Source organism: Homo sapiens, chromosome 6 (genome assembly GCF_000001405.40).
Source record: "Homo sapiens chromosome 6, GRCh38.p14 Primary Assembly".
NCBI lineage: Eukaryota > Metazoa > Chordata > Mammalia > Primates > Hominidae > Homo > Homo sapiens.
This window is the reverse complement of record NC_000006.12, coordinates 17,829,293-17,854,916: the sequence shown is the minus strand read 5'-3', so window position 1 is coordinate 17,854,916 and position 25,624 is coordinate 17,829,293. Positions and strand designations below refer to the sequence as shown.

General features: G+C 40.9%; 1 protein-coding gene and 1 long non-coding RNA gene across 5 annotated transcripts in view; one reads left to right on the top strand and one right to left on the bottom strand.

Annotated features, from left to right (window-relative positions):
* Positions 1–25,624, top strand: part of KIF13A (kinesin family member 13A) — a 228,510-nt gene that overhangs the window by 132,719 nt on the left and 70,167 nt on the right. For all 4 annotated transcript variants that reach the window (NM_001105568.4, NM_001105567.3, NM_001105566.3 and 1 more), the window contains exons 7-13: positions 2,875–2,962; positions 4,460–4,594; positions 5,428–5,540; positions 17,334–17,445; positions 17,827–18,039; positions 20,846–20,956; positions 23,682–23,816. In NM_001105568.4, the coding sequence (NP_001099038.1) occupies positions 2,875–2,962; positions 4,460–4,594; positions 5,428–5,540; positions 17,334–17,445; positions 17,827–18,039; positions 20,846–20,956; positions 23,682–23,816 (907 nt within the window). The remainder of the gene's footprint in view (positions 1–2,874; positions 2,963–4,459; positions 4,595–5,427; positions 5,541–17,333; positions 17,446–17,826; positions 18,040–20,845; positions 20,957–23,681; positions 23,817–25,624) is intronic.
* Positions 1,378–4,483, bottom strand: LOC105374953 (uncharacterized). The gene is made up of 3 exons (XR_001744007.2): positions 4,396–4,483; positions 3,853–3,942; positions 1,378–1,886 (listed from the first exon to the last, which is right to left on the bottom strand). It is a non-coding gene; the product is annotated as an uncharacterized LOC105374953 (long non-coding RNA).

Genomic DNA, 25,624 nt, shown 5'->3' with positions numbered 1-25,624 from the left:
AATATATTTATCTGATTCATAGAGGAAGGGGGGCCATTTACTTTTTCTCAATTAAAAAATTTGGGGCCGGGTACAGTGACTCATACCTGTAATCCCAGCACTTTGGGAGGCCAAGGTGAGCAGATCATCTGAGGTCAGGAGTTCGAGACCAGCCTGACCAACATGACAAAACCCCATCTCTACTAAAAATACAAAAATTACCCAGGTGTGGCGATGGGCATCTGTAATCCCAGCTTCTTGAGAGGCTGCAGGAGAATCACTTGAACCCAGGAGGCAGAGGTTGCAGTGAGTTGAGATCACGCCACTGCACTCCAGCCTGGGGAACAGAGGGAGACTCCAGCTCAAAAAAAAAAAAAAAAAAAAAAAAAAATTATACTGATTTAAAACTAGTATCTATTTATGGAAAATTTGAAAAATAGGTAAGGTGTAAGAAGAAATAAAAATGACCTATAATCTCACCATTCAAAAATAATCACTAAGGCCAGGTGTAGTGGCTCATGCCTGTAATTCCAACATTTTGGGAGGCCAAGGTGGGTGGATCACTTGAGGTCAGGAGTTCGAGACCAGCCTGGTCAACATGGTGAAACACCGTCTCTACTAAAATAGAAAAATTAGCTGGGCGTGGTGCTGGGCACCTGTAATCCCAGCTACTCAGGTGGCTGAGGCAGGAGAATTGCTTGAACCCAGGAGACAGAGGTTGCAGTGAGCCAAGATCATGCCACCACATTCCAGCCTGGGCAGTAGAGTGAGACTGCATCTCAATAATAATAACCACTGTTACACTTTGGTGCATTTTGACCAAAATTATGAGTGACAAGGAAGTGACCCAATCAAAGAAAATGTTTATATTTACTCTTAAGAAGCTGTTAACTATTTAATGCATACAAAATAACATTTATAACACCTGTAAGGCATAAAGAGTAATAAAAACAACTGCCTACCTACATTGGCTTAATAAATGGAACATGACTTAGTCAAAAGTACTCTAGCTAAAATTAAATAAATAAATAAATAAATAAATGGAACATGACCAATAATTGTGAAGCTCACTATACGTTCCCCTTGGATCCATTTTCTACCCCTCCCCAAGGTAACTACTATTGTGAATTTTGTGTTTAGCATTCTCTTCCTCTTCTTTAGCATTTACAAATAATTTTGCATAATTTTTAACTTTGTATGACATCATAATATATGTGTTCTTTGGTGATTTGTTCCCCCCACCGTGATTCATTTATTCTTATATATGAAGTGCTAATACATTTTTACTGTTGTCTTAGCATTTCATTGCATGGTTACATCAATAATTCATCACTTTCTCTGTCTTTTGTGTGGTTCCTGCTTTTATCAATAGAGTGCTGCTCTGAAAGCATTGTTATACAGGTTTCCTGCTGTATAGGTAGGTGCAGGAGTTTCTAGGTAACACATCTAGGGGTGGAATTGTAAGTCACAAAATACTGAATCTCCAATTTTATTTAATTGCGCAAACTGTTATCCAAAGTGGTTGTACCAATTTCCACCCCCACCAGCAGTGTACAAGAATTTCAGATACTGGACACCATCACAGGCACTTGGTATAATGCTAGGTTTGCTTTTTCTTGCTGCTGAATAGCATTATAGAATCTCTGGCAAGCAGAGTAAGCTGTGTACTGGATCGTGTGCATCTAAGTAGCTCACTGTCACATTGAATTCTTCGTCTTTAAAATAAAGGTGGTAAAGCCTACTTTGTAGGGATGTTATGAAATGAAACGGCATAACTGAAAAGTGCTTCAGGGAACAATGCCAGGACTTTGGGATGCATTCAGTGATGCTTCTTAGCTCCTTTTTCCCATATATTGGTGATGCTAAGCAATGACTCTTAATTTGAAAGATGATTAATATGTGATGCCCTGAAAAAGATGGTGTGCACAATATGGTCAGTATATACATAGCTTTGCTTTTAATCTCCATTGTCTTTTGATAAACTGTTGAAATGGGTTCCAAACCAGGTTTATCATTTAAAAATTCAAAAGAGCTTTAAAATTTTCATTAGCAGAACCAATTCTAAATATAGTACAAACGTCAGTAATTATAAACAAACTCTGTACTATAATCTCACTTTCTGTATAAAATAGTGTAAGCATAGAAGTAGCATAAACCAATGCAGACTTGAAGTAGAGTTTAAATGTTTTAATACTGTCTACTAGTAATTCAAAAATTTTGACTGGGCGGTGGTGGCTCACATCTGCAATCCCAGCATTTTGGGAGGCTGAGGCTGGAGGATTGCTTGAGCCTAGAAATTCAGGACCAGCTTGGGCAGAATAGTGAAGCCACATCTCTACAAAAAATATAAAAACTAGCCAGGCATAGTGGCATGGGCCTGTAGTCCCAGCTGCGTGGGTGACTGAGGTAGGAGAATCACCTGGGCGGGAGGTTGAGGCTATAGTAAGCCGGGGTCATGCTACTGCACTCTAGCCTGGGCGACAGAGTGAGACCCTGTCTCAAAAAATAAATACCATTTTAAGACATTATCTGCTGAGAATATGCTTATTTATGAAATAGCCGAAAGGTTGATTTGATCTGGCATGTTTTTTGGTTCCCTTTTTCCCCCAATCCTCCCCAAAGTATAACTGACAGCCTAACCCAGGAAGGTTTGTGACTAGAGATAGAATGTTTAAAATAGTAACATACTTTAAATAGAAATCAGAGCATAAAACACATTTCTCATGTTAAACATTGTTTTGCTAATCCAAATAAAGTAGCTTTTAGATTTGTTGGGGGGAGGAGTCATTTAAAAATTCTTTTGAAATTGTTATCTTAGTTACTGTGTACTTAAAGAGAAAGAAAAGCTTCCAGCTTTGGTGTGATTCATTTATTCCTTTTTCCTCCCTCCCGCAGGAGTAGACAGTCTCTTAAAGTTCGAGAACATAAAGTTTTGGGACCATATGTAGATGGTTTATCTCAACTAGCTGTCACTAGTTTTGAGGTAAGTCATTTTTTTTAAAATGTGATTAAAAGCTGACTATAAATCAAAGTATGTAAGTGATACTGAGTATATTTTATGTGGATGCTTTATAGCAGAATGATACTACTCAGGGCCTCAGAAACCCAGTATCAGCACACCGCAAACAGAGAGGAAAAGGGCTTTTAATCACACTCTTCAAGCTGCTTTGTTGTGAAGGTTTTACAGTATGGCCGGGAGGCCCAGTGTTTTCAGGTTGCTGCATATTTTCACTAATACTACTCTGTTAAAACTGTTCTCCCAATGATGCCAGTGACATCCTTCTAGACATGTGGTATTCTAAACAGTATTTGGCAGTTAGTACAGCCCTTTCTTTTTGGCAGGGTCTCCTGCCTTGGTTTCTGTCACTTCTGGCTCTCCTGTTTTTCTGAATCACTCCTCTTGCCATTGACCGGCCTGTTTTACTTTATTTACTCTTTGACTTATATGCCTTGTTAAGATCTGACTCAAGATTCTGCTTCTATTTCTATAGTGATTGCTTTGGAAATCTCATAACACAAACTGCTATCTCTGTTGCTAAAGGATGTGAATGAATGAGTGAATGCACAGAGAAACAAGCAAATCCCTGCACTTACTTTGTGCTGTTTGTGGGATGTGGCTGGCCCATTATCACCCCAGACTTAGTATGGCTAAAACTAATCTGTGCAGTGATTCTCTCCAGCCATTTAAATCAAGGTATATATAGAATTGCTCTAATCGGAAATAGAGCACAGTGATCATTTTAAAAAGGTTTCGATTCTGAAATGAATGGATACTTTTTTGGTCTAAAGGTGCTAACTCAGCTCCTTCACTGAGGTCCCTGGTTCTTAGCTCAGTGTGGTTGAGGTAAGTGTTGATGTTATCCTGTCACTTACTAGTAGGAGCCAGGGTGCTCTATTTGCATCCCAGCTCTACCTCTTACTGGATTTGGGGAAAGTTGCTTGACCTCCACGAACTTCAGCATCCTTGTATGTAAAAGCAAGAAAATAAAGTTCATTTAGCAAATATTTCATAAGATCCCATAGGCTCTAGGCATTCTAGGAGCAAGTGTACAAAGTGGAATAAGGAAAAAACCCTGCCATCAGGGAGCCACAGTATTGGAGGAGGGAGGCAGACAGGCAGGCATCAGCGGGTTGGTAAGCACAGGAGAGTAAGAGTTAAATCAAGTCACTGCTATTATTGATTATCGGAGTGCTCAATAAATATTAGCTATCCCAGGAACCCAAAAAGGAGAAAATAGGGACTCAACTGAGAAAGAAGACAATTGGGAAATGGAAAGAATTAGGGAAACATTTCATACATTACAAAGTCTTGAGTGAGGTGGAAGCTCAAACCATGCTCAATGGAGGAGCGGCAGGGAGGTTTCTATGGAAGGGTGGTGACAAAGGCATCAGAGGAATCATAATTAATACATATACCTGGTGTGCAGGACTACATTCTTGTGTTTTTGCTTATGGTCTTTTCCTTATGCTTTGCCCCTAGGATATTGAGTCATTGATGTCTGAGGGAAATAAGTCTCGAACGGTAGCTGCTACCAACATGAACGAAGAAAGCAGCCGCTCCCATGCTGTGTTCAACATCATAATCACACAGACACTTTATGACCTGCAGTCTGGGGTAAGGGATTAGGCAGAACCTTTTTGGAGTGGGGGTGGAAGAACTGAAAGTGTCCATATAGGTAAAGTCTTTCATGGTTGGGTTCAGTGGCTGAGAATTGTATGTTGGCTCTTCTGCTTACTAGGTGAGCTACTTTGCTTATCATTTAATTTGTTAGGTCTTTCTTTATATTTGACTTTTTAAAAAATTGGATTTTGGCCTGGTGCAGTGGCTCCTGCCTGTAATTCCAGCATTTTGGGAGTCTGAGGCGGGAGGATTGCTTGAGGGCAGAAGTTCATGACCATCTTGTACAATATAGCAACACCCAGACTCTACAAAAACAAAAAAGAAAAATAATTGTATTTCTTGTGCAAAGTCCCTAACAAGTGTGATGACATCACCATACAGCTTTTAATATATATCCTTTCATGCTGAAATTCCCATGGAAACATGTCAGCTTCATAGCCATTGAGGGATATTAAAGAGGACACCACAACCTTTAGCCTAAACCTTTTTTCAAAGGAAGAAGGATTTGACTTGAATGTGCAGAAATCCTCATGTCCTCATATCTCCTCATAGGCATTTTAAATCTCCAGCTTTCTGACTGTATTCCAGAAAGCTGGGTGTACTTGCTACCCAGCTGCAAAACAAAATGCTACATTTCTACGCCTATTTAAATGTTAACTATGAAATTAATTGCTGGTTCAAATAACTCTTCTGACCGTTTAAAAACTTAAGAAATTTGCCATATGAGAGTGGGATGGATTGCTCAATTATAGTGCTAACATATATGTAGATATCCATGTGGTTTTTATTGATAAGTTTTTCTTCTCTCTCTCGTTTCCTATAACTAGAATTCCGGGGAGAAAGTCAGTAAGGTCAGCTTGGTAGACCTGGCGGGTAGCGAAAGAGTATCTAAAACAGGAGCTGCAGGAGAGCGACTGAAAGAAGGCAGCAACATTAACAAGTAAGGTGGCTGGTCCCAGAACAGCCTGGGTGATTTCCTTCTGGAGGGGATTTGTTGCATTATGAGGGTCAGATGGTTCTGATGTACAGGTTGTTTAAAGTCTGTATAGCTTTAGTAAACTGGGCTGAAGAAAAACAACAACAACCTGTGTCTGTTAAGATGTATGAGGTTTTTGGCCAGGCACGGTGGCTCATGCCTGTAATCCCAGTACTTTGGGAAGCCAAGGCGGGCAGATCACCTGAGGTCAGGAGTTTGAGACCAGCCTGGCCAACATGGCAAAACCCCATCTCTACTAAAAAGGCACGGTCACGCACACCGGTAACCCCAGCTACTTGGGAGACTAATGCAGGAGAATCGCTTGAATTTGGGAGGTGGAGGTTGCAGTGAATCAAGATTGCACCACTACACTCCAGCTTGGGCAACAGAGTGAGACTATCTCAAAGGAAAAAAAAGGATGTATAAGGATTTTGTTTAGGTACGGTGGCTCACAACTATAATTCCAGCATTTTGGAAGGCCAAGGTGAGTGGATCACTTGAGGCAAGGAGTTCAAGACTAGCCTGGGCAACGTGACAAAACCCCTTCTCTACCTGGTCTCTACCCCGTTTGTACCCATCTCTACCCCCTCTCTACTAAAACACAAAAATTAGCTGGGCATGGTGGCACACGTCTGTAATCCCAGCTACTCAGGAGGCCAAGGGGTGAGAATTACTTGAATCTGGGAGGTAAAGCTTGCAGTGAGCCGAGATTGCTCCCCTGTACTCCAGCCTAGGCAACAGAGCGAGACTCTGTCTCAAAAAAAAAAAAAAAAAAAAAAAAAGATGTACGAGTTTTAATTAAATAAAACTGCATGGTGCAGCTTGCTCAAAAATGGCACAAATACCATATTCTGACATATGTGGAAGCTAAAAAAGTTGATCTCATGGAAGTAGAAAGTAGAATAGTGGTTACTAGGGGCTGGAAAGGGGAGGCCAGGGGGAATAACGAGAGGTTGGTTAATGGATACAAAATTACAGCTAAATTGGAGGAATAAGTTCTAGTTTTCTGTAGCACTGTAGGGTGACTGTAATTGACAGTATGTTGTATATTTTCAAATAGCTAGGAAAGTGGATTTTCAGTGTTCCCAACACAAAAAAATGATAAGTGTTTGAGGTGATGGATATGCTAATTACCCTAAATTGATCATTATACATTGTATACATGTATCAAAATATCACACTTTACCCCATAAATATGCACAATTGTGTGTCAACTAAAAATAAAAGCAAGCCAGGCACGGTGGCTCACGCCTGTAATCCTAGCACTTTGGGAGGCTGAGGTGGGTGGATCACCTGAGGTCAGGAATTTGAGACCAGCCTGGATAATATGATGAAACCCTTCTGTACTAAAAATGCAAAAAATTAGCCAGGCATGGTGGCAGGCGCCTGTAATCCCAGCTACTCGGGAGGCTGAGGCAGAAGAATCTCTTGAACCCGGGAGACAGAGGTTGCGGTGAGCCGAGATCGCGCCACTGTACTCCAGCCTGGGCAACAAGAGTGAAACTCCATCTCAAAAAAATAATAATAATAATAGTACCTACTTCACCGATTTGTTAGGGATAAAATGACCATAATGTGCTTAGAAAAATGCCTAGCACTTAGTATGCAGTGAATAAAAATTAACTGTTATAGCTGTTGTTTTTTATAATCAGGATAACCATTATCATGATTCCAAGTTCAACAGAAAGTAGTTTAGTGTGTACTTGTAATCTTTTTCTGTTGAGCTGTAATAACTTAGGGTTTCGTTTAGGACAGAATGTGACAAGAGGAAATGTATTCAGGAACATGTTTGCACAGCTTGCATTTAAGATGATGTTAACACATTATTATTTTCATATACAAAAGTTTAAAAATTAGAAGTAAAATAGTGGCCCCTCTATCAGATGGACACAGCCGTACTCACAGGGAAAGACCACTACTATAGGAAGTTAATCATCCAGTCATTCTGTCTCCTGCTCTGATAACAAAGGATTTTGCTGTATTTCCTGACAAGGCATTGCAAGATTCCAGACTGGCACTGCAGCCCTGCATGCCAAAATGAGTTCAGAAACCAGGATGGGGAGGCAGAAATGGGAGTGTGAAGGAGCAGGTTTCAAAGAAAAGATTGCCACGCCTCGTGGAGATTCATTTGCAAGTGCTGGGCCATGCCTGCCGGTGGGGCTTGTGGGATCACACTAGAAAGTCTGTAGACTTGTTGGAATTTAGAGTGTGTGTGTGTGTATGACTGGCGTAGATGTGGAATGACCACTAACTTTATTGAGCTCTTGCTAATGCCAGGCACTATTCTGAATGCTCCATATGCAATGTCACATCAGCATCAAGGCATGGGTCCGTTATCCCCATTTTACAGATGAGAAAACCAAGACAGAGCAAGTTTAATGATGTCTCCCAGGTCACCAAGTTCTAAGTGTGGATTTTGGAAATGGTTGCCGTCAATTGGTCTCCGAGCCCAGGCTCAGCCACTGTGGCTACACTTGTGGGGATGGCTGTGCATTCTGTTTGCCAGGCAGCATCTAGATGATACTTTTGTCCCAGAGTAAATGTAAATAGTGCCCCCTTAATTTTGGATGTGAGTTTATGTAGTGTCCCTTACTGGATTACCCCAAGGCTTGGTGATTACGTGATTTAGATCATTTAGTAACTGGCTCTTTTTTCATAATGACTGGTTGAATTGAATGGAATTCTCTCAACATCTTACCTCTTTTCTTCCTTCCCTTTTTTTTTTTTTTTTTTTTTAAAGAAATGGGGTCTCGCTATGTTGACCAGACTGCTCTTAAACTCTTGGCCTCAAGCAATTTTCCCATCTTGGCCTCCCAAAGTGCTAGGGTTATAGGTGTGAGCCACTGCTTCTGGCCTCGTCTTATTTACATACTGTCTCTTTCACAAATGGATGTGTGTATTCCTTACTAGTTTATGAGATATGATCTTCCTTTTTAAGAGTTCTTTATACTTTTCAGAGCATTTTCATACACTCTGAGAGTCTCATAACATGTATTTTTATCTCTTTTTAAAGATGAGGAAAGGACTGATGCTTAGAGACGTTGAATAACATAAATAAAATCCCAGCAAACATTTAGTATGCCTTGGCCGGGTGCAGTGGCTCACCCCTGTAGTCCCAGCATTTTGGGAGGCTGAGGCAGGTGGCTCGCTTGAAGTCAGGAGTTTAAGACCAAGCTAACCAACATGGTGAAACCCTGTCTTTACTAAAAATACAAAAATCAGCCCGGCATGGTAGTGGGCGCCTGTAATCCCAGCTACTCAGGAGGCTGTCTCAGAAAAAAAAAAAAAAAAAAAAAAAAGGTTGAGTTCCAAAACTAAAGAAATCTCTGACATGTTCTTAAGCTTTCTCTCGTCCTCCCACTTAACGTTTCTTTGGATGGAGCATTAATAATCCTCTTAAGCAGGCCTGTCAGGGACTTCACACAAACGTCAGTGTCTGCTTAATGGGCTGTGGATTTAGGAACTTCATGTCTCCTGAAGCTCTTAAGACCTTTAAGCACATGTTACTCCTTTCATTAAAGAATTAAGACACTGCGTGGCCTACTGCCAGGGAGTGTTCAGAGCTTAGGAGGTATAGGTCATCTGTGGACCATCTTCACAGGGGAATACATTTGAAAAGCCAATCTGCTGCTCCACCTGTCTAGTGAAGGTGGAATGAGGAAGCCTTTTCCTTGTAATTGCAGTCTGGCTGCTTCAGCTTTGCTGAGAACACATTTGGATCATAGAGCACTCTCTAATACCCCCAGACACTGAAAATGGTTCCATTTTATTCAGTAATGGCTAGTCACTAAATGCAAACAATGTTTATCTAATGGGTATCGTTCCCAGTCTCATTCCTATTTCAATTCCTGTGGTTAATAAGCTAACATCTTATCAATAAGCTAACATCTCCAAAAGTGGGTTCTATTGAACACTTGTTCTATAGAAATTCATATATGTTACTTCTGGGATTGTATCAGTATAATTTGTTATAATAGAGTAACTTGTAAGCATGGTATTTCTAGTATTTCATGTGACTTGGTGATATGGTATGGCTGTGTCCCACCAAAATCTCATCTTGAATTGTAGCTTCCATAATTACCACGTGTTGTGGGAGGGACTCAATGGAAGTTAATTGAATCATGGGAGCGGTTTCCCTCATGCTGTTCTCATGGTCGTGAATAAGTCTCACGAGATCCGATGGTTTTATAAGGGGAAATCCCTTTTCCTTGGTTCCCATTCTCTCTCTTGCCTGCCACCGATGTGCCTTTTGCCTTCTGTCATGATTGTGAGGCCTCCCCAGCCACGTGGAACTGTGAGTCCATTAAACCTCTTTTTCTTTAAAAATTACCCAGTCTTGGGTGTGTCTTTATCAGCAGCATGAAAATGGACTAATACACTCAGTCTTCCTTTTTTTCTTCTTGAGTACTTTCCATGATTCTGGTTCATTTAGAGTCCCACTCTAAAGAGGTATTTCCTGAATAACAAAACATGAATTTGTATTGAGGGAGAAAAATAAAATGGCTTACTTCTGTCCATTACTCAAGGGTGGGTGTCCTTCTTAATTTATGACTTGTACATTACGGAGTCCATACATGTGAATTAAAAACCTGGATAGACATCTTTGCATTTAATGTGAGAGACCCATCAAGGACAGCAAAACTCTGCTCCTTGGGACACAGTAGCCACATCGTTGGAAGAATTTGATAGGGTTACCCAAGGTTTCCTAAAGCATTTTTGTCTAACATTAGTTCCTCAAATGGCTTTGAGAAGAAACAAATCCTTGGACAAGTTATTTTGAGAAAGAATAATTATAAAACCTTTCTTTGGAGATTCACAGTGCTAAAAGCTCGGAGACGTCCTGCAGTAATAAATCCTGTAAAACTTTGGCTTGTTGTTCCCTAAACTTACTTGATGACAGAATTCTAGGTTCAACATATGTTAAGATCCCTAGAACAATAAAGTATACAGTAACATTTTAAAGTATACACTAACATTTTCAGAAATGTCAGTATGTACTCTATTGTTCTACCACAACGGTTGATGAACATTGAGTTTAATGATTGGCATTAACCACTGGAAAACAATTTGAAAGGAAATGAGGCTGATACTGTAGCTATTACCATTTTCTTTGCTCTCCTGTCATGTGATGGTACTGTCCTTTACTCATAATTTGCCATCCATATTCTTTTCCATTTCTGCTTTACTGTTAAGAGTGAGGACTTATTGGGGAGAACACTAAACTCAAATCCACTTATTTCATCAATCTTTCAACTAATTATTTCTTTTCTTTCTTTCTTTCTTTTTTTTTTTTTTTGAGATGGAGTCTCACTCTGTCACCCAGGCTGGAGTACAGTGGCACGATCTCGGCTCACTGCGACCTCCATCTCCTGGGTTCAAGTGATTCTCCTGCCTCAGCCTCCCGAGTAGCTGGGATTATAGGCGTGCGCCACCACGCTCAGTTAATTTTTGTATTTTTAGTAGTGGAAGGGTTTCACCATGTTGGCCAGGCTGGTCTCAAACTCCTGACCTCAGGTGATGTGCCCCCCTCGGCCTCCAAAAGTGGTGGATTACAGGCGTGAGCCACTGTGCCCAGCCTCAACTAATTATTTCAAAGCCAGGGATTGCATTCTGCTCTAAGCAACAGAAACCAGCTACACTGACAATGACGTGAGTTAATTTTTCTCATTTAACAGGAAGTCCAGAGGCTGGTACAGCACCTCAGAAATGCACACAGCTCTACTAACTTTAATGTGTGTTCATGTCATCTTCATGATCTCAGGATAGCTCTATCATTCCAAACATCGTATCCATATCTGTGGTACAAACTGGAAGAAGGAAAAAGGAGGAAGGGCAAAAAACCACAGGCTTCTGTCAGCTGAATTTGTACCTTCTTTTATCAGAAGAACAACAGTTTTCTTGGAAGCCCCACCCAGTAATGTTTACCTACATCTCCTTGGCCAGAACTGTGTTTAATGGCTACCCGAAGCTGCAGAGAGGACTTTGGAAAATAGAGTTTTTAGCCCAGCACATTGCTTCCAGGAAAACCAGTGTTCTGTTAGCAAGTAGCACTCGATGTATCCCAAAACCATCATTGAATTAGTCCTTTTTAAACAGAGGTCCATGTTTTGGTCTTCACTGAATCTAGATTCAGATTAACGCTGCAGATATTTACTGAGTGCTTTCAGTCATAAACCAAGCACAGTAATTGCATGGAGGAATGTGTATGGCAAATTACACCGTCTGCCTTCAAGGTAATCACAATCTAAATAGAAAAGCAGAGAAATAGCTACACAAATAACTCCAATAAAGTTTAATAAGTATTATATATATGATCTTAGAACTGATTATTGGACTAATAAGTAAAATAATATTTGAAATCCATCCTATGCAATACAGATAATATGTACATCATATCCACTCCTAAGGAAAGAAATCTAATGGTCAGAGTTTCAGGGGAAACGGTGCAGGTTAGGTGAAGGTGCAGAAAAGAAAAAAAAAAAAGTTGGATTATAACTCGGTTTTTTCTCACTGATTATATTTATTGGAGTGGCTTTTATTTTGCTTTTGACCCTCCCAACTTTCTTTTACTTTTTTTATCCTTAGTTCTTCATTATGATTGATAGATTTTTTTAAAAAAAATTCTATCTTAAAACATGACTGTCCTTTTATAAATGTCATCTCCTAGCTTAAGACTTACTTCCTCTCCAGTTAGGCCCTCCCACCCCTGCCTAAGAACTTATGGTGAGAGATTTAAAGATTAAGAGCCTCCTTACTATATCCAACTTTAGGAGCTGTGCTTTAGTAGAATCAGAAAGATTCCTGGAATAACTTATTTTGCCACTAACATTGGCAAACAGCTGTTCCCTTGTTCTGGATTCCTGTGAGGCCAACAGGCTGCCCGCTGGCCTCCAGCTTGAGAAGACAGTATTAGCAGGATCAATACTTAGTGGTTTTTTTATATTTTTAAGTTCCCTGGGAATAAAATAATTCATAAAAATATGTAAGCCTGGCCAGGCTCAGTGGCTCATGCCTGTAATCCCAACACTTTGGGAGGCTGAGGTGGGAGGATCACTTGAGCCCAGGTGTTCGAGACCAACCTGGGCAACATAGCCAGACCCCATCTCTACAAAAAAATTTAAAAATTAGCCAGGTGTAGTGGTGCACACCTGTGGTCTCAGCTACTTGAGGGGGCTGAGGTGAGAGGATCACTTGATCCTGGGAGATCAAGGCTGCAGTGAGCCAGGATTGTACCACTGCTCTCCAGCCTGGGCGACAGAGCAAGACCCTATCTCAAAGAAAAAAAATAATATATGTATAAGTGTATACACACACACACACACACACACACACACACACACGTATGTGTATATACACATACATACATGTACTTACATGTATGTGTGTGTGTGTATGTAGACACACAAACACACAGACATATAAGCCTGTGATTCGCCTTTCAGACGTTGAACTTTCTAACAGGTTTTGGGATTCCAGAAGCCCCTGCATCATTGCTTCTGAGTGGAACATAGACAAAAAGGATAGCATGGGCTCCTCATCCCTGGGTGACCTGATTGTCTCTCACTTGCCATTGAGTCCCACTCACCCTGCAGTTATTTTCATTCTGTTCCAAGGGGATGGTAATAGATTTAGATAGAGTTCTTGTTTTGAATGTGTGGATACTATTAGATAAAAGGGGCGGCTTCTACTAATGATACACTTCTGTAACTGGATGAGTTACAGAGCAAAATATACATGGGAATTGGAGTTATATAACACTTCCATACAGCTCCACCCCTCTGCTGCTGCTGCTTACATGCTATACTGATGTAGGGGAGAAAAAATATTTTTCGTCTGTTTGCCCTGTAAATTAGACTGGCCAAAGACAGATTAACAAGAGAAAAGCAACTAGCATTTTATTAGCATATGCATCTTGCTTATGCATGGGAGCACCCAGAGATTAATAACCCAAAGTGGTAGGTATAACTTGGGCATACGACTGGGCATGGTGGCTCACACCTGAAATCCCAGCACTTTGGGAGGCCAAGGCAGGAGGATCCCTTGAGTCCAGTAGTTCAAGACCAGCCTGGGCAACAAAGTGAGGCCCCTTCTCTACAAAACATTAGCTGAGTGTGGTGGCATGCACCTGTAGTTCCAGCTACTCAGGAGAATGAGATAAGAGGATCGCTTGAGCCTGGGAGGTTGAGGCTGCAGCGAGCCATGATTGTGCCAGTGCCTGGGCAACAAAGTGAGACCCTGTCTTTGGAAAAAAAAAAAAAAAAGGAAAAGGGGTTTTGGGCTTCTGGATGCGGGAGGCAGGTTATGGGAAGGTGACCAGGAAAAGTATGGTGAATAAGAGTTGTCTAGAGAAGTTTGTGACACAGAAGTTTCTCCACCTTTAAGAGTTGTTAACAGTACTTCCCTTCTTGGTGCTAGAGAGGGAGACACCTCTACAAATGGAAATGTCCTTTACAAAAGGAAAATTGATGCCATGTTTTTAGAGCTTTTCCTGAGTCTGCTGGTTCTCAGTGGCCTCTAGCTTAAAATAATCCATATTCTGGCATCCTTCAGTCAGCTTGCAGACAAGACATATGATGGACATTGATGACACTGTATCTTTCCTTTTTTCTCTCAAAGCGCTATTTGGATTTTATGTTTCTACATTTAGGAGTACTAGAAACTTTCTGTGTTTCCCCCTTACACTGTCAAAGTAGAAATTATAAGTAGTTGCCACAAAGTAGAGGAAAGTCTTCTCTCGGTGATGGATAAATCCATGTCATCTCCAAAATGTATTTTCATGTGAAAGGTCACTGTCAACCATAAAGTTACTAATATTGACTTTTAAGTCACTGAACTCTTTAGAGCTTGTGTGAATTAAAATAATATGTGCCACACATAGATAGTAAAATATCTGGGATAGTTCAAAGAATTGTTTCCAATCAAAAATATCAATAGTTGCAAAATGTGAAAAAAATGCCCTGTATTCTATATTAAAGCAGAAATGTGTTTTTACCTTTTATTGAACTCCTACTTGCCTCTATTATCACATACAGTATTTTTTTCATAAAATTGTTACCTTTGGAGGAGTGATTGGACATATTTAATTTTTTTGAACAGCTGTATTAAGTAACTCACATACAATATAATTCACCATTGTAAAGTGTTCAATTCAGTAGCATTAATATATTCAGAGTTGTACCGCCATCACTACAGTCTCATTTTAAAACATTTTCATCATACCCAAAAGAAACCTTGTATCCAAATCATTCCCTATTACCCCCACCCACAGCCCTAGTCAACCACTGCCTCCATCTCTATAGATTTGCCTATTCTAGATATTTCATATAAATGGAATCATACAGTATATGGCTGTGTTCGATTGCTATTGCTACTGTAACAGATTACCACAAACTGAGTAGCTTAAAACAACAGAAATTTATTTCTCACAATTCTGCAGGCGAGAAATCTGAAATCAAGGGGTCAGCAGGGTTTGTTCCCTCTTAGCAGGTCAGAGGGAGAATCTGTTCCATGCCTCTCCCCTTGTTTCTGTAGGGCCATCAATCCTCGGCGTTCCCTGTCTTGTAGATGCATCACTCCAGTCTCTGCCTGCATCTTCACGTGGCCGTCTCCCCTGGGTGTCTTTATATGACCTTCTTATAAGGACATCACTCATTAGATTAGGGCCCTCCCTAATCCAGTATGATCTCATCTTAACTGATTACATCTGCAAGGACCCTTTTTCCAAATAGGGTCACATTCTGAGGGTCTGGCGGACATGAATACTGTTCAACCCAGGACAATGGCCTTTTGTGTTTGGCTTCTTTCACGTAAAATAATTTGCCAGGGTTCATCCGTGTTGTAGTTGTTGTGATACATGTATCTGAACTTATTCCCTTTTATGGCCAAATGATATTCCACTGTGTGTATATACCAGATTTTATTCATCACTTCATCATTTGATGGGCATGTGGTCGTTTCCACATTTTGACTTTTGTGGATAAAGCTGCTTTGAATATTCATGTACAAGTTTCTGTGTAGACTTATGTTTTCACTTCTCTTGGGTTAGATTTGTTTCACCTTTAAATCTGTCAAGTATGATGTACATTTTTGTGGATAAATGTATGGGGTACAAGTGCAATTTTGTTACAGGCACAGATTGTGCAGTGGTCAAGTCGGGGCTTTTAAGGTATCCGTCACCTGAATAACATACATTGTACTCATTAAGTATTAATTAAGCTTCTTGGCTGGGCGCAGTGGCTCACGCCTATAATCCCAGCACTTTGGGATGCCAGGATGGGTGGATCACCTGAGATCAGGAGTTCAAGACCAGCCTGGGCAACATTGTGAAACTCCATCTCTACTAAAAATACAAAAATCAGCCAGATGTGGTGGCGGGCGCCTGTAATCCCAGCTACTCAGGAGGCTGAGGCAGGAGAATCTCTTGAACCTGGGAGGTGGAGGTTGCATTGAGCCAAAATCATATCATGCCACTGAACTCCAGCCTGGGTGACAGAGCGAGATTCCATCTCAAAAAACAAACAAACAAAAAAATAAGCTCGTCATCCTCTCCCCTTCCACTCCCTCACCCTTCCAAGTCTCCATTGTCCATTCCAGTCTCTATGTCCATGAGTACACGTTATTTAGCTTCCACTTATGAGTAAGGACATGCAATATTTGTTTTTCTGTGTCTGACTTGTTTCTTTTATATATTTTTATTTTAATTTTTTTGACTTGTTTCACTTAAGATGATGTACATATTTATGCCACTCTGTGGTAATGGCTGTTATTAAAATTCTAACAGCCATTCTGATCAAATGAATTCTGGTTCATTTTCTGAATCTTGAGTTTATATTATATTTCGGGGACTTTTCAGTGACTCGTCTTTGGGGAATTATGTTTTGTGGGAAATAGGCTGCTTTCCTTTCAGCTTATTTGATGGAAATCTATTGTTAACATTACAAAGAAAGCTGTCTAGTCTTTCACTTGCTAGTTTGTGTCCTTCTTTGTTATTTGTAGTAGCATTTAACTTTTTTTTTTTTTTGAGATGGAGTCTTGCTCTGTCGCCCAGGCTGGAGTACAGTGGCGCGATCTTGGCTCACTGCAGCCTCCGCCTCCCGGGTTCAAGCAATTTTCCTGCCTCAGCCTCCCGAGTAGCTGGGACTATAGGCACACGCCGCCACGCCTGGCAATTTTTGTATTTTTAGTAGAGATGGGGTTTCACCATGTTGGCCAGGATGGTCTTGATCTCCTGACCCCTGACCTCATGATCCACCTGCCTCAGCCTCCCAAAGTGCTGGGATTACAGGTGTGAGCCACCACTCCCAGCTGCATTTAACTTTTTAAACCATTTACAAAGCACTTTCTTTTTATGATATTTTGGTTTTTTGGGGTTTCTTTGTTTTTGTTTTTTTGAAAGAGTCTCACTCTGTCGCCCAGGCTGCAGTGCAGTGGCACAGTCTCGGCTCACTGCAACCTCTAACTCCCGGGTTCCAGAGATTCTCCTGCTTCAGCCTCCCAAGTAGCTGGGATTACAGGCACCTGCCACCACGCCCAGCTAATTTTTTGTATTTTTAGTAGAGACAGAGTTTCACCATGTTGGCCAGGGTGGTCTCAAACCCCTGGCCTCAAGTGATTCATCCACCTTGGCCTCCCAAAGTGCTGGGATTACGGGCGTGAGCCACCAACGTGTATTAACTGTGGAGCTTTATTGTTCTGCATATTTTATACTTAAACCAAATAAACATTCCATAAAACTAATTTTTCATTTTTTCTTGACAGATCGCTTACAACCTTGGGGTTGGTTATATCATCACTGGCTGACCAGGCAGCTGGCAAGGGTAAAAGCAAATTTGTGCCTTATCGAGATTCAGTCCTCACTTGGCTGCTTAAGGTAATCCATTGCTCTAGTGTTCTTTTCCAACTAAAAATTGGCTATTCCAGATGTGACAGAGTAAAGGTGTGTACAAAGCTAACCAAATACCTAAAGAACTCTCCTGATGACAGTTATTCTAATTCCTAGGAACACAGAATGAAAACTATTTTCTACTCCTTTTTATTCCATTTGAATGCTGTTTGACAGGCCTTATTCATTGCTTGAATATAGAGAGGACACATTTCATCTTGTCATGACGTTATTTGTGAAATGCAAGTCCATTTCCACATAATGTTTCCTTCATAGAGAATAATGTCATACCTAACACATTTAGTGCTTTTATCATATGTGTTGTCCATGGAATGGGCTTCCTAAGATGCTGTTTGAAATACTTGGCAGGACAACTTGGGGGGCAACAGCCAAACCTCTATGATAGCCACAATCAGCCCAGCCGCAGACAACTATGAAGAGACCCTCTCCACATTAAGATATGCAGACCGAGCCAAAAGGATTGTGAACCATGCTGTTGTGAATGAGGACCCCAACGCAAAAGTGATCCGAGAACTGCGGGAGGAAGTCGAGAAACTGAGAGAGCAGCTCTCTCAGGCAGAGGTAAAAGCAGCCTGGTACTCCCTGCTGGTAAAGTTCCCTGGCTTGCGGGATTTGACTGGCAAGGGTGTGCTCATTTGCAATTGTAGGTCATCTGATATGGTTTCGATTTATGTCTCTACCCAAATCTCATGTTGAATTGTAATCACCAGTGTTGGAGGAGTGGCCTGGTAGGAGGTGATTGGATCATGGGGGCGAACTTCCCCCTTGCTGTTCTCGTGATAGTGAGTTCTCATACAGCCTGTGGAACCATGAGCCAATTAAACCCCCTTTTCTTTATAAATTACCCAATCTCAGGTATTTCTTTATAGCAATGTGAGAACTGACTAATACATCATCTCAATGTGGTTCAGCACTTCAGTGTTTATTGGCATCTGCCAAATGCTAAGCATTGTGAGGACCAACATGAGTAATACCATACTCTGTCCTAGGAACTTATAGTCATGGAAACAAACAAATAAGAGATAATTCCTGCTACTACCTGATCATTTGCTTCCCTAAATCAGTTGGCCTTTGAACTTTCAGTGGGAAAGTATGTTGTTTATATTAACATTATAAACTATTATTTCCACAGGGCCTTGCAATTTTCAGAGAATTTAGTTAGGTGTTATCTCCTTGTTAAGCTGTGGAAACGGCGTGATCAAAGATAATTAAACATTAGGAATAATTCAGAAATCTTTTTCTTTTCCATTTATATCAGGCCCTGACAAGAAACAAAATCTTTTTGCATTGTTATCTTCTTTCTTTGGCTTTACTGAAACTTTAATAATGATATACTCTTCTAAATAGGTGTTGCTTTTTGCAAATTATTGGGTGAGGCACTGTCTTATTTGAAATATTTAAGAGGACAGCTTTGGAGGCCAAGTGCCTTAGTTTAAGTCACAGGGTTCCACATGCCAGGACTTGGGAGTGTATCTGACACTTCTAAGTTCACATTCCTTCACCACTCTCTTCTGACCCCACTGTAGTTGGGAGAGTACTAAGTTGTAAGAAAAAAAGAAAGAAAGAAAAACACAGTTAATGGCCATTATTTATGGAGCATTTACATGCCAGGCACTATGTTAATACTTCTATCCATCAGCATATTTTATCAAAAAGTAATCAATAGAAGACTGAAAAAACAAAAAGGTGAAGCCAAGAGTCTGAATACTCTATTAATTGGTGATCTTGGCATTACATTGTAATTGTTTGTTTATATATCTTTCTCTTCTTCCAGGCTGTGGCTCTTAAAGTACAAGATGCTGTGTTTTATTGATTTTTTTATCCCCAACCCCTAGCCTAACATTGATACTAGAAAGCACTTACCACAATACCTTGCACATAGTAAGTTCTCAATAAATGTTGCTGATTTTTATTATAATTTATAATCATTCAGTGCATAAAGTATAATTTTCAGATAGATTGTAAGAAGGGTAGCAAAACACCAGAAAAATAAAAATGCTGATAAACCTTGAAAATAGTCATGATGCTAGGAGGAAAGTATAATGGTTCTGCAATGTGTTTATAGGTGGATTATCTACTTATTTGCATTTTTACTGTGACCACATAATCTGGGCGAGATGGCTCAAGCAATACCTGGCTGAAGGAAACAGAAGAAGAGCCAGCCACATAGGTCCACCTAGAATTTTCTTTTTCTGTTTCTTTTTTTTTTTTTTTTTTTTTTTTTTTTTTTTTTTTTTTTTTTTGGCGGGGGCGGGTGGACAGAGTCTCTCTGTTGCCCGGGCTGGAGTGCAGTGGCACCATCTTGGCTCACTGCAACCTCTGTCTCCTGGGTTCAAGTGATTCTTTTGCCTCAGCCTCCCAAGTAGCTAGGATTACAGACAGGCATGCGCCATTATACCCAGTGAATTTTTTTTGTATTTTTAGTAGAGACAGGGTTTCGCCATGTTAGCCAGGCTGGTCTCAAGTGATTCACCCACCTCAGCCTCCCAAACTGTTGGGGTTACAGGCAGGAGCCATTGGCCTGGCCTATAATTTTCATATATGTCCCACTGTACTCAGCACTAAATGCCACTGTCAGGCTCTGTTAATACCATGAGCCTCAGGCATACTCAGCTAGCTTCCAGATCATCACATCCCAGCTTCTTGTCCAAGCTCTGCCATCTTTCTTGTTCATAGAGTTTTAACTTTGTAGAGGCTCATGTTACTTTAAGGTGTCAAAGCATATTATTGACAAGTAAAGGCCTCTCCCCTCAAAATTTTGTTAAGCTGCAAGTATCTGTATTGAAACCTCTTAGTTACTCTCCCTGAACAAACTAGAAGGGAAACCACTGCCTTTTTAGCCAGCTGTGCTGCTTCTGGGTGAATGATAATGATAAATAACAAAATGCATGACCATCAGTGGAGAAAGGTAGTCTAAAGGCCCAGATTCAAAATTTAAAATACATGAGAAGTCTTTACCTTTTCTAGCAGATTAATTTAACTGGAATTCATTTATTGATGATGAGTGTTAACCTCCGTCTTATTGAAAAAGAAGTCTGCTTAAGTAACCTTTTGTCCTGCTTATCTATTTCAAAGTTGAACGTTAGCATCTTTTAGGGCTTTAAATGTGAAATTTAAGTATAATGGATAAAATGACTAATGATTTGTTTCATTTTCATTCAGGACACTGGTATTTCTTTTTCAGGGAACAGCCATGTTCTCTTACATTCGTTTGATTAATAAAGGTTAAAAACCCACCCTAACAGCATATAACTTAATTTTTTCCAACAGACTATTGATAACTGCTTAAGAGGGACAGTAACTGATTGTCTTGTATATGATGGTGGAAAAATTTTGAACATCAGATATCTCTGATTTCATTTTAAAGGCCATGAAGGCCCCTGAACTGAAGGAGAAGCTCGAAGAGTCTGAAAAGCTGATAAAAGAACTAACAGTGACTTGGGAAGAGAAGCTGAGAAAAACAGAAGAGATAGCACAGGTAGCTTGATAATTTAGCCCTAAAATATTGGGATTCTTTTTCACTTATTGTCTTTTCTGTGTAGTTTGCTGTCATCTTCAGAAAGTCTTTTTTTTTTTTTTTTTTGAGACGGAGTCTCACTCTGTCGCCCAGGCTGGGGTGCAGTGGCGTGATCTCGACTCACTGCAACCTCCACCTCCCGGGCTCAAGCAGTTCGCATGCCGTAGCCTCCCGAGTAGCTGGGATTACAGGTGCCTACTACCATGCCTGGCTAATTTTTATATTTTTAGTAGAGATGGGGTTTCACCATGTTGGCCAGGCTGGTCTCAAACTCCTGACCTCAGGTGATCTGCCAGCCGCAGCCTCCCAAAGTGCTGGGATTACAGGCATGAGCCACTGCACCCAGCCTCAGAAAGTCTTTTAAGGGCCCTTTTCTGCTGAACCAGAGATTGCAAAGATCACTTTTTTTTTTTTTTTTTTTTTTGAAGACAAGGTCTCCCTCTGTCACCCAGGCTGGAGTACAGCAGCTCAATCACAGCTCTCTTGCAGCCTCAACATCCTGGGCTCAAGTGATTCTCCTCCCTCAGTCCCCCCAAGTAGCTGGGACCACAGGCATGTGCTACCATGCCCAGCTAATTTTATCTATTTTGTGTAGAGCTGTGGTCTTATTTTGTTGCCCGGGCTGGTCTCAAACTCTGAGCTCAAGTGATTCTTCTGCCTCAGCTTCCCAGAGTGCTGGGGTTACAGGCATGAGCCACTGTGCCTCGCCCAGCAAAGATCACTTTTAGACATTGACGTCAGGTCTTTTTATCAATGTACAGTTTGGCCTGTATATTTGCTAGACGTGTTAGATAGCACTAAATTTGAACAAGCATGGTTACAGAAAATGTCATTCATATTTCCTGCTCTTCACATTTAAACGAAAGTCTGCCTTGTGATTTTTTTTTTTTTTTTTTTTTTTTTTTTTGCAGACAGAGTCTCTCTCTGTCGCCCAGGCTGGAGTGCAGTGGCGCAATCTCGGCTCACTGCAACCTCCGCCTCCTGGGTACAAGCGATTCTTCTGCCTCAGCCTCCCGAGCAGCTGGGACTAGAGGCTTGCGCCACCACTCCTGGCTAATTATTTTTGTACTTTAGTAGAGATGGGGTTTCACCGTGTTGCCCCAGCTGATCTCAAACTCCTGAGCTCAGGCAATCCACCCACCTTAGCCTCCCAAAGTGCTAGGATTACAAGTGTGAGCCACTGTGCCCAGCCTTGTTTTGTGATTTTTAGATCACCTGGCAAAGCATGAGGCTACCTGATTTTTATTTTATTTTATTTTATTTTTATTTATTTAATTTTTTATTGAGATGGAGTCTTGCTTTGTCACCCAGGCTGGAATGCAGTGGCGCAATCTTGGCTCACTGCAACCTCCGCCTCCCCAGTTCAAGCTATTCTCCTGCCTCAGCCTCCCAAATAGCTAGGACTATAGGTGTGTGCCACCACAACTGGCCAATTTTTGTATCTTTTGGTAGAGTCAGGGATTCACCATGTTGGCCAGGCTGGTCTCAAACTCCTGACCTCAGGTGATCCACCCGCCTTAGCCTCCCAAGAGGCTACCTAATTGACAGAGAATTTGTAACGTATAGCATATCATAATTTTTCAATGTATTTGATTCTTTGGGCTTGTTAGGAAATGCTGTATGTTTATATTTTAACTTTTACTTAAGTTAAAATATAAAGGAAGGACTAATTCTCGGGGTTATGTGCATTATGAATTTCTCTACATTATATATTTCACGAACATTTTTAATCTCATTGATCATTTGGAAATATTGGACCATCCCAATCACGTAGCTTAACAGCAGTCACTGGAACCCAGTCCAGCCTTCTGCTGATGTGTTTCTTATAGATATCGTTCACACCCACACATACCCCTACACCTCACTCACTGTCCCGCTTAACATTGCTTTATGTTTCTCCATAGTACTTAACACCATTGGAAATTCTATGTACCATATTGACTTAACTGTTTTCTTATGGCCTGTCTCCTCCCACCAGAATATAACTTTTCATGAAAGACGGGACTTCATTGGGTTCAGTGCTGTATTCCCAGCCCGAGATCAATACCTACTACATTGTAGACTCTAATAAATATATCTTGAATGAATGAATGAATGAGTGAATACAAGGCCTTCCGCAGTAGAGACCCAACCTTCTCTTCCAGCCTTAACTCTCACTGCTTTCTGATATTTGCCAGGGGTTCTTGGCCCCTGAAATCATCTAGTATGTCCAGAACCTTTCTTTAGTGTGCTTCCGTATGCCATGCCCCAAGAACACCCTATCTTTATATTTCTGTTGAAATTATTCTTATGCTTCAAGAACTATCTCAAATATATCCTCTTTCTGCAGCCTTTCTTGGTCTCTTAACCCATCATGATGTCTCTCCTGGGAAGCCCCTGGCATTTTGTACCCTTCAATAGCACAACACTCTCCTCTTTTGTGCTCTAGTTATGTGGTCTTGTTCCCTCTACTAGATTCTAAGCTCCTTAAGAGCCAAAATGGTGTCTGGTTCATCCTTGGTGCCCCTATCACGCCTGCCACAAGATGTCATGCACTGTAGACTCTCTGTTAATGTGGTTGAGCAGAGTAGCATGTGTAATCCCATTGGCATTGTCCCCAGAAACAGTGACTTACTCTTTCCGTGGATACATCTTGTGAATAGAACAACAAACAGAGTTTCCTTCTTTTGTCTGTTTTTGTGCACAGGAAAGACAACGACAACTTGAAAGCATGGGGATTTCCCTGGAGATGTCCGGTATCAAGGTGGGGGATGACAAATGCTACTTAGTCAATCTGAATGCAGACCCTGCTCTTAACGAACTTCTGGTTTATTATTTAAAGGTAGGAGAACATATAAATACATATGCAATCAAGATTCATTCCTATACAGTTCGTAGTTGAATCTGGGTGCCTGTCTCTGTGATGTTGCTTTTTGTATCCAGCTTAGCCCTCAGTAAAACTAAGATGGATAGTGCCCTCCGATCACCACTGAGAAGGAAAAACAGCTATTTTGTATCATCTGGGGCTGTGCAGTTGGGGCTGATCTCCTGTGAGTCCAGGCTTCAGAGTGGCATAAGTGGGCAACAGTAGGTGTCGAGGTGATGCCTAGCTTTATGAGAAGGCTCTAGGTGTGAGATGGTGAGGATTCTGGGAATATCTGTGTTCTTCCACAAAGCTCCTGAGAAGCTCTGGAGGTTCTTAGTTATGCTTCTGAGTAATTCCAAGGAGATCTCAAGATCAACACAAGCCTAAAGGAGACCCTCGTCCTAGATTAAATAGACAACAATGTTCTTCTAGGTCTATCCCTTGTAAACCCACATCCTCAGGAAATAACTTTTGGTCCCATAATCACCCTTCAGGTGTAGAGGTGGGATGGGGCCGCCCTGTTGCCACTGTGGTCGCAGGACATGCCACGTTGGATAGCTTACTGTAGCATTTCTCAAATTTTCTGACTTCAGAACCCATTTACACTCTTAAAAAAAGTATCAAGGACTCCAAAGAACTTTCATGTGTCTGGGTTATATCCGTGTTTACTGTATTGGACCCTAAGACTGAGAACATTTTAAACTACAAACATAAACGTACAACCCTTAGCCCTCAGGGCTATAACATCATTACATGTCTCATAGACTCTGGAAAATTCCACCAATACACACACACATGATAAAATGAGAGAGCAAAGGCAAACAACATGTTCATGTTTCTATTGAAGTAGTTTTGACTTCATAGGCCTCCTGAAAGGTTCTCAGAGACCCCGGGGGTTCTCAGATCACACTTTTAGAACTGCTTGCTTACTCTGCAAAGTGAGAAATAAGATATCTGATTGACATTGATTTAGGACACTGTGACTGACATAAGGCATTCAGCCAACCATCAGGGCATTTTTAATCTCACACATACACACACTTTCTGAGTTACAGAAACGAACTTTCAAGGATTGGGGACCTGGGGCCTTGAAGGCAGCTTACATATGCTGTCCACACACCTGAATCTCTAAATGCGAAGGTATTGCCTGCTTGAGAACAGTGAGACACCTTGTTAAGGATTCTGATCTGCCTAGTAAATACATAAAATGCAATGGAGAATAAGCCAAAATTGAAGCAAGGAGCCTCACCTTCTACTTTTCCTAGAGGTGTAAATTTGGTACAAATAGCCCCTGAGTTATTGAGAGTCCCCCAACAAACTTAAGATCTGTTCATTTAGGCAATGAGTAGGGGTAAGGAATTGTCTCTGAAATCCTGATTTTGAAAGACCAATCCTTATACTTTCTCTGTCAAATAGGGAGGTATTATTATAGTTATTAAACTATTTTAAGAGCAATAGAAAAAAATGGGATAAGCAGTGGCTGAATCACCAATAGTCACAGTCCTCGTATGTCTGAGGTTCAGGTACTTAAAATCACATGAGGCCAGGTGCAGTGTGTTTACTGTATTGGACGCTATCAGTGTCAATCAGATGTCCTATTTCTCACTTTGCAGTGTAAGCAAGCAGTTCTAAAAGTGTGATCTGGGGTCTCTGAGAACCTTTCATGAGGCCTGTGAGGTCAAAACTACTTTAATATAAACACGAACATGTTGTTTGGCTCTGCTCTCTCATTTTATCACGCATGTATTGGTGGAGTTTTCCGGAGTCTATGAGACATGTAATGA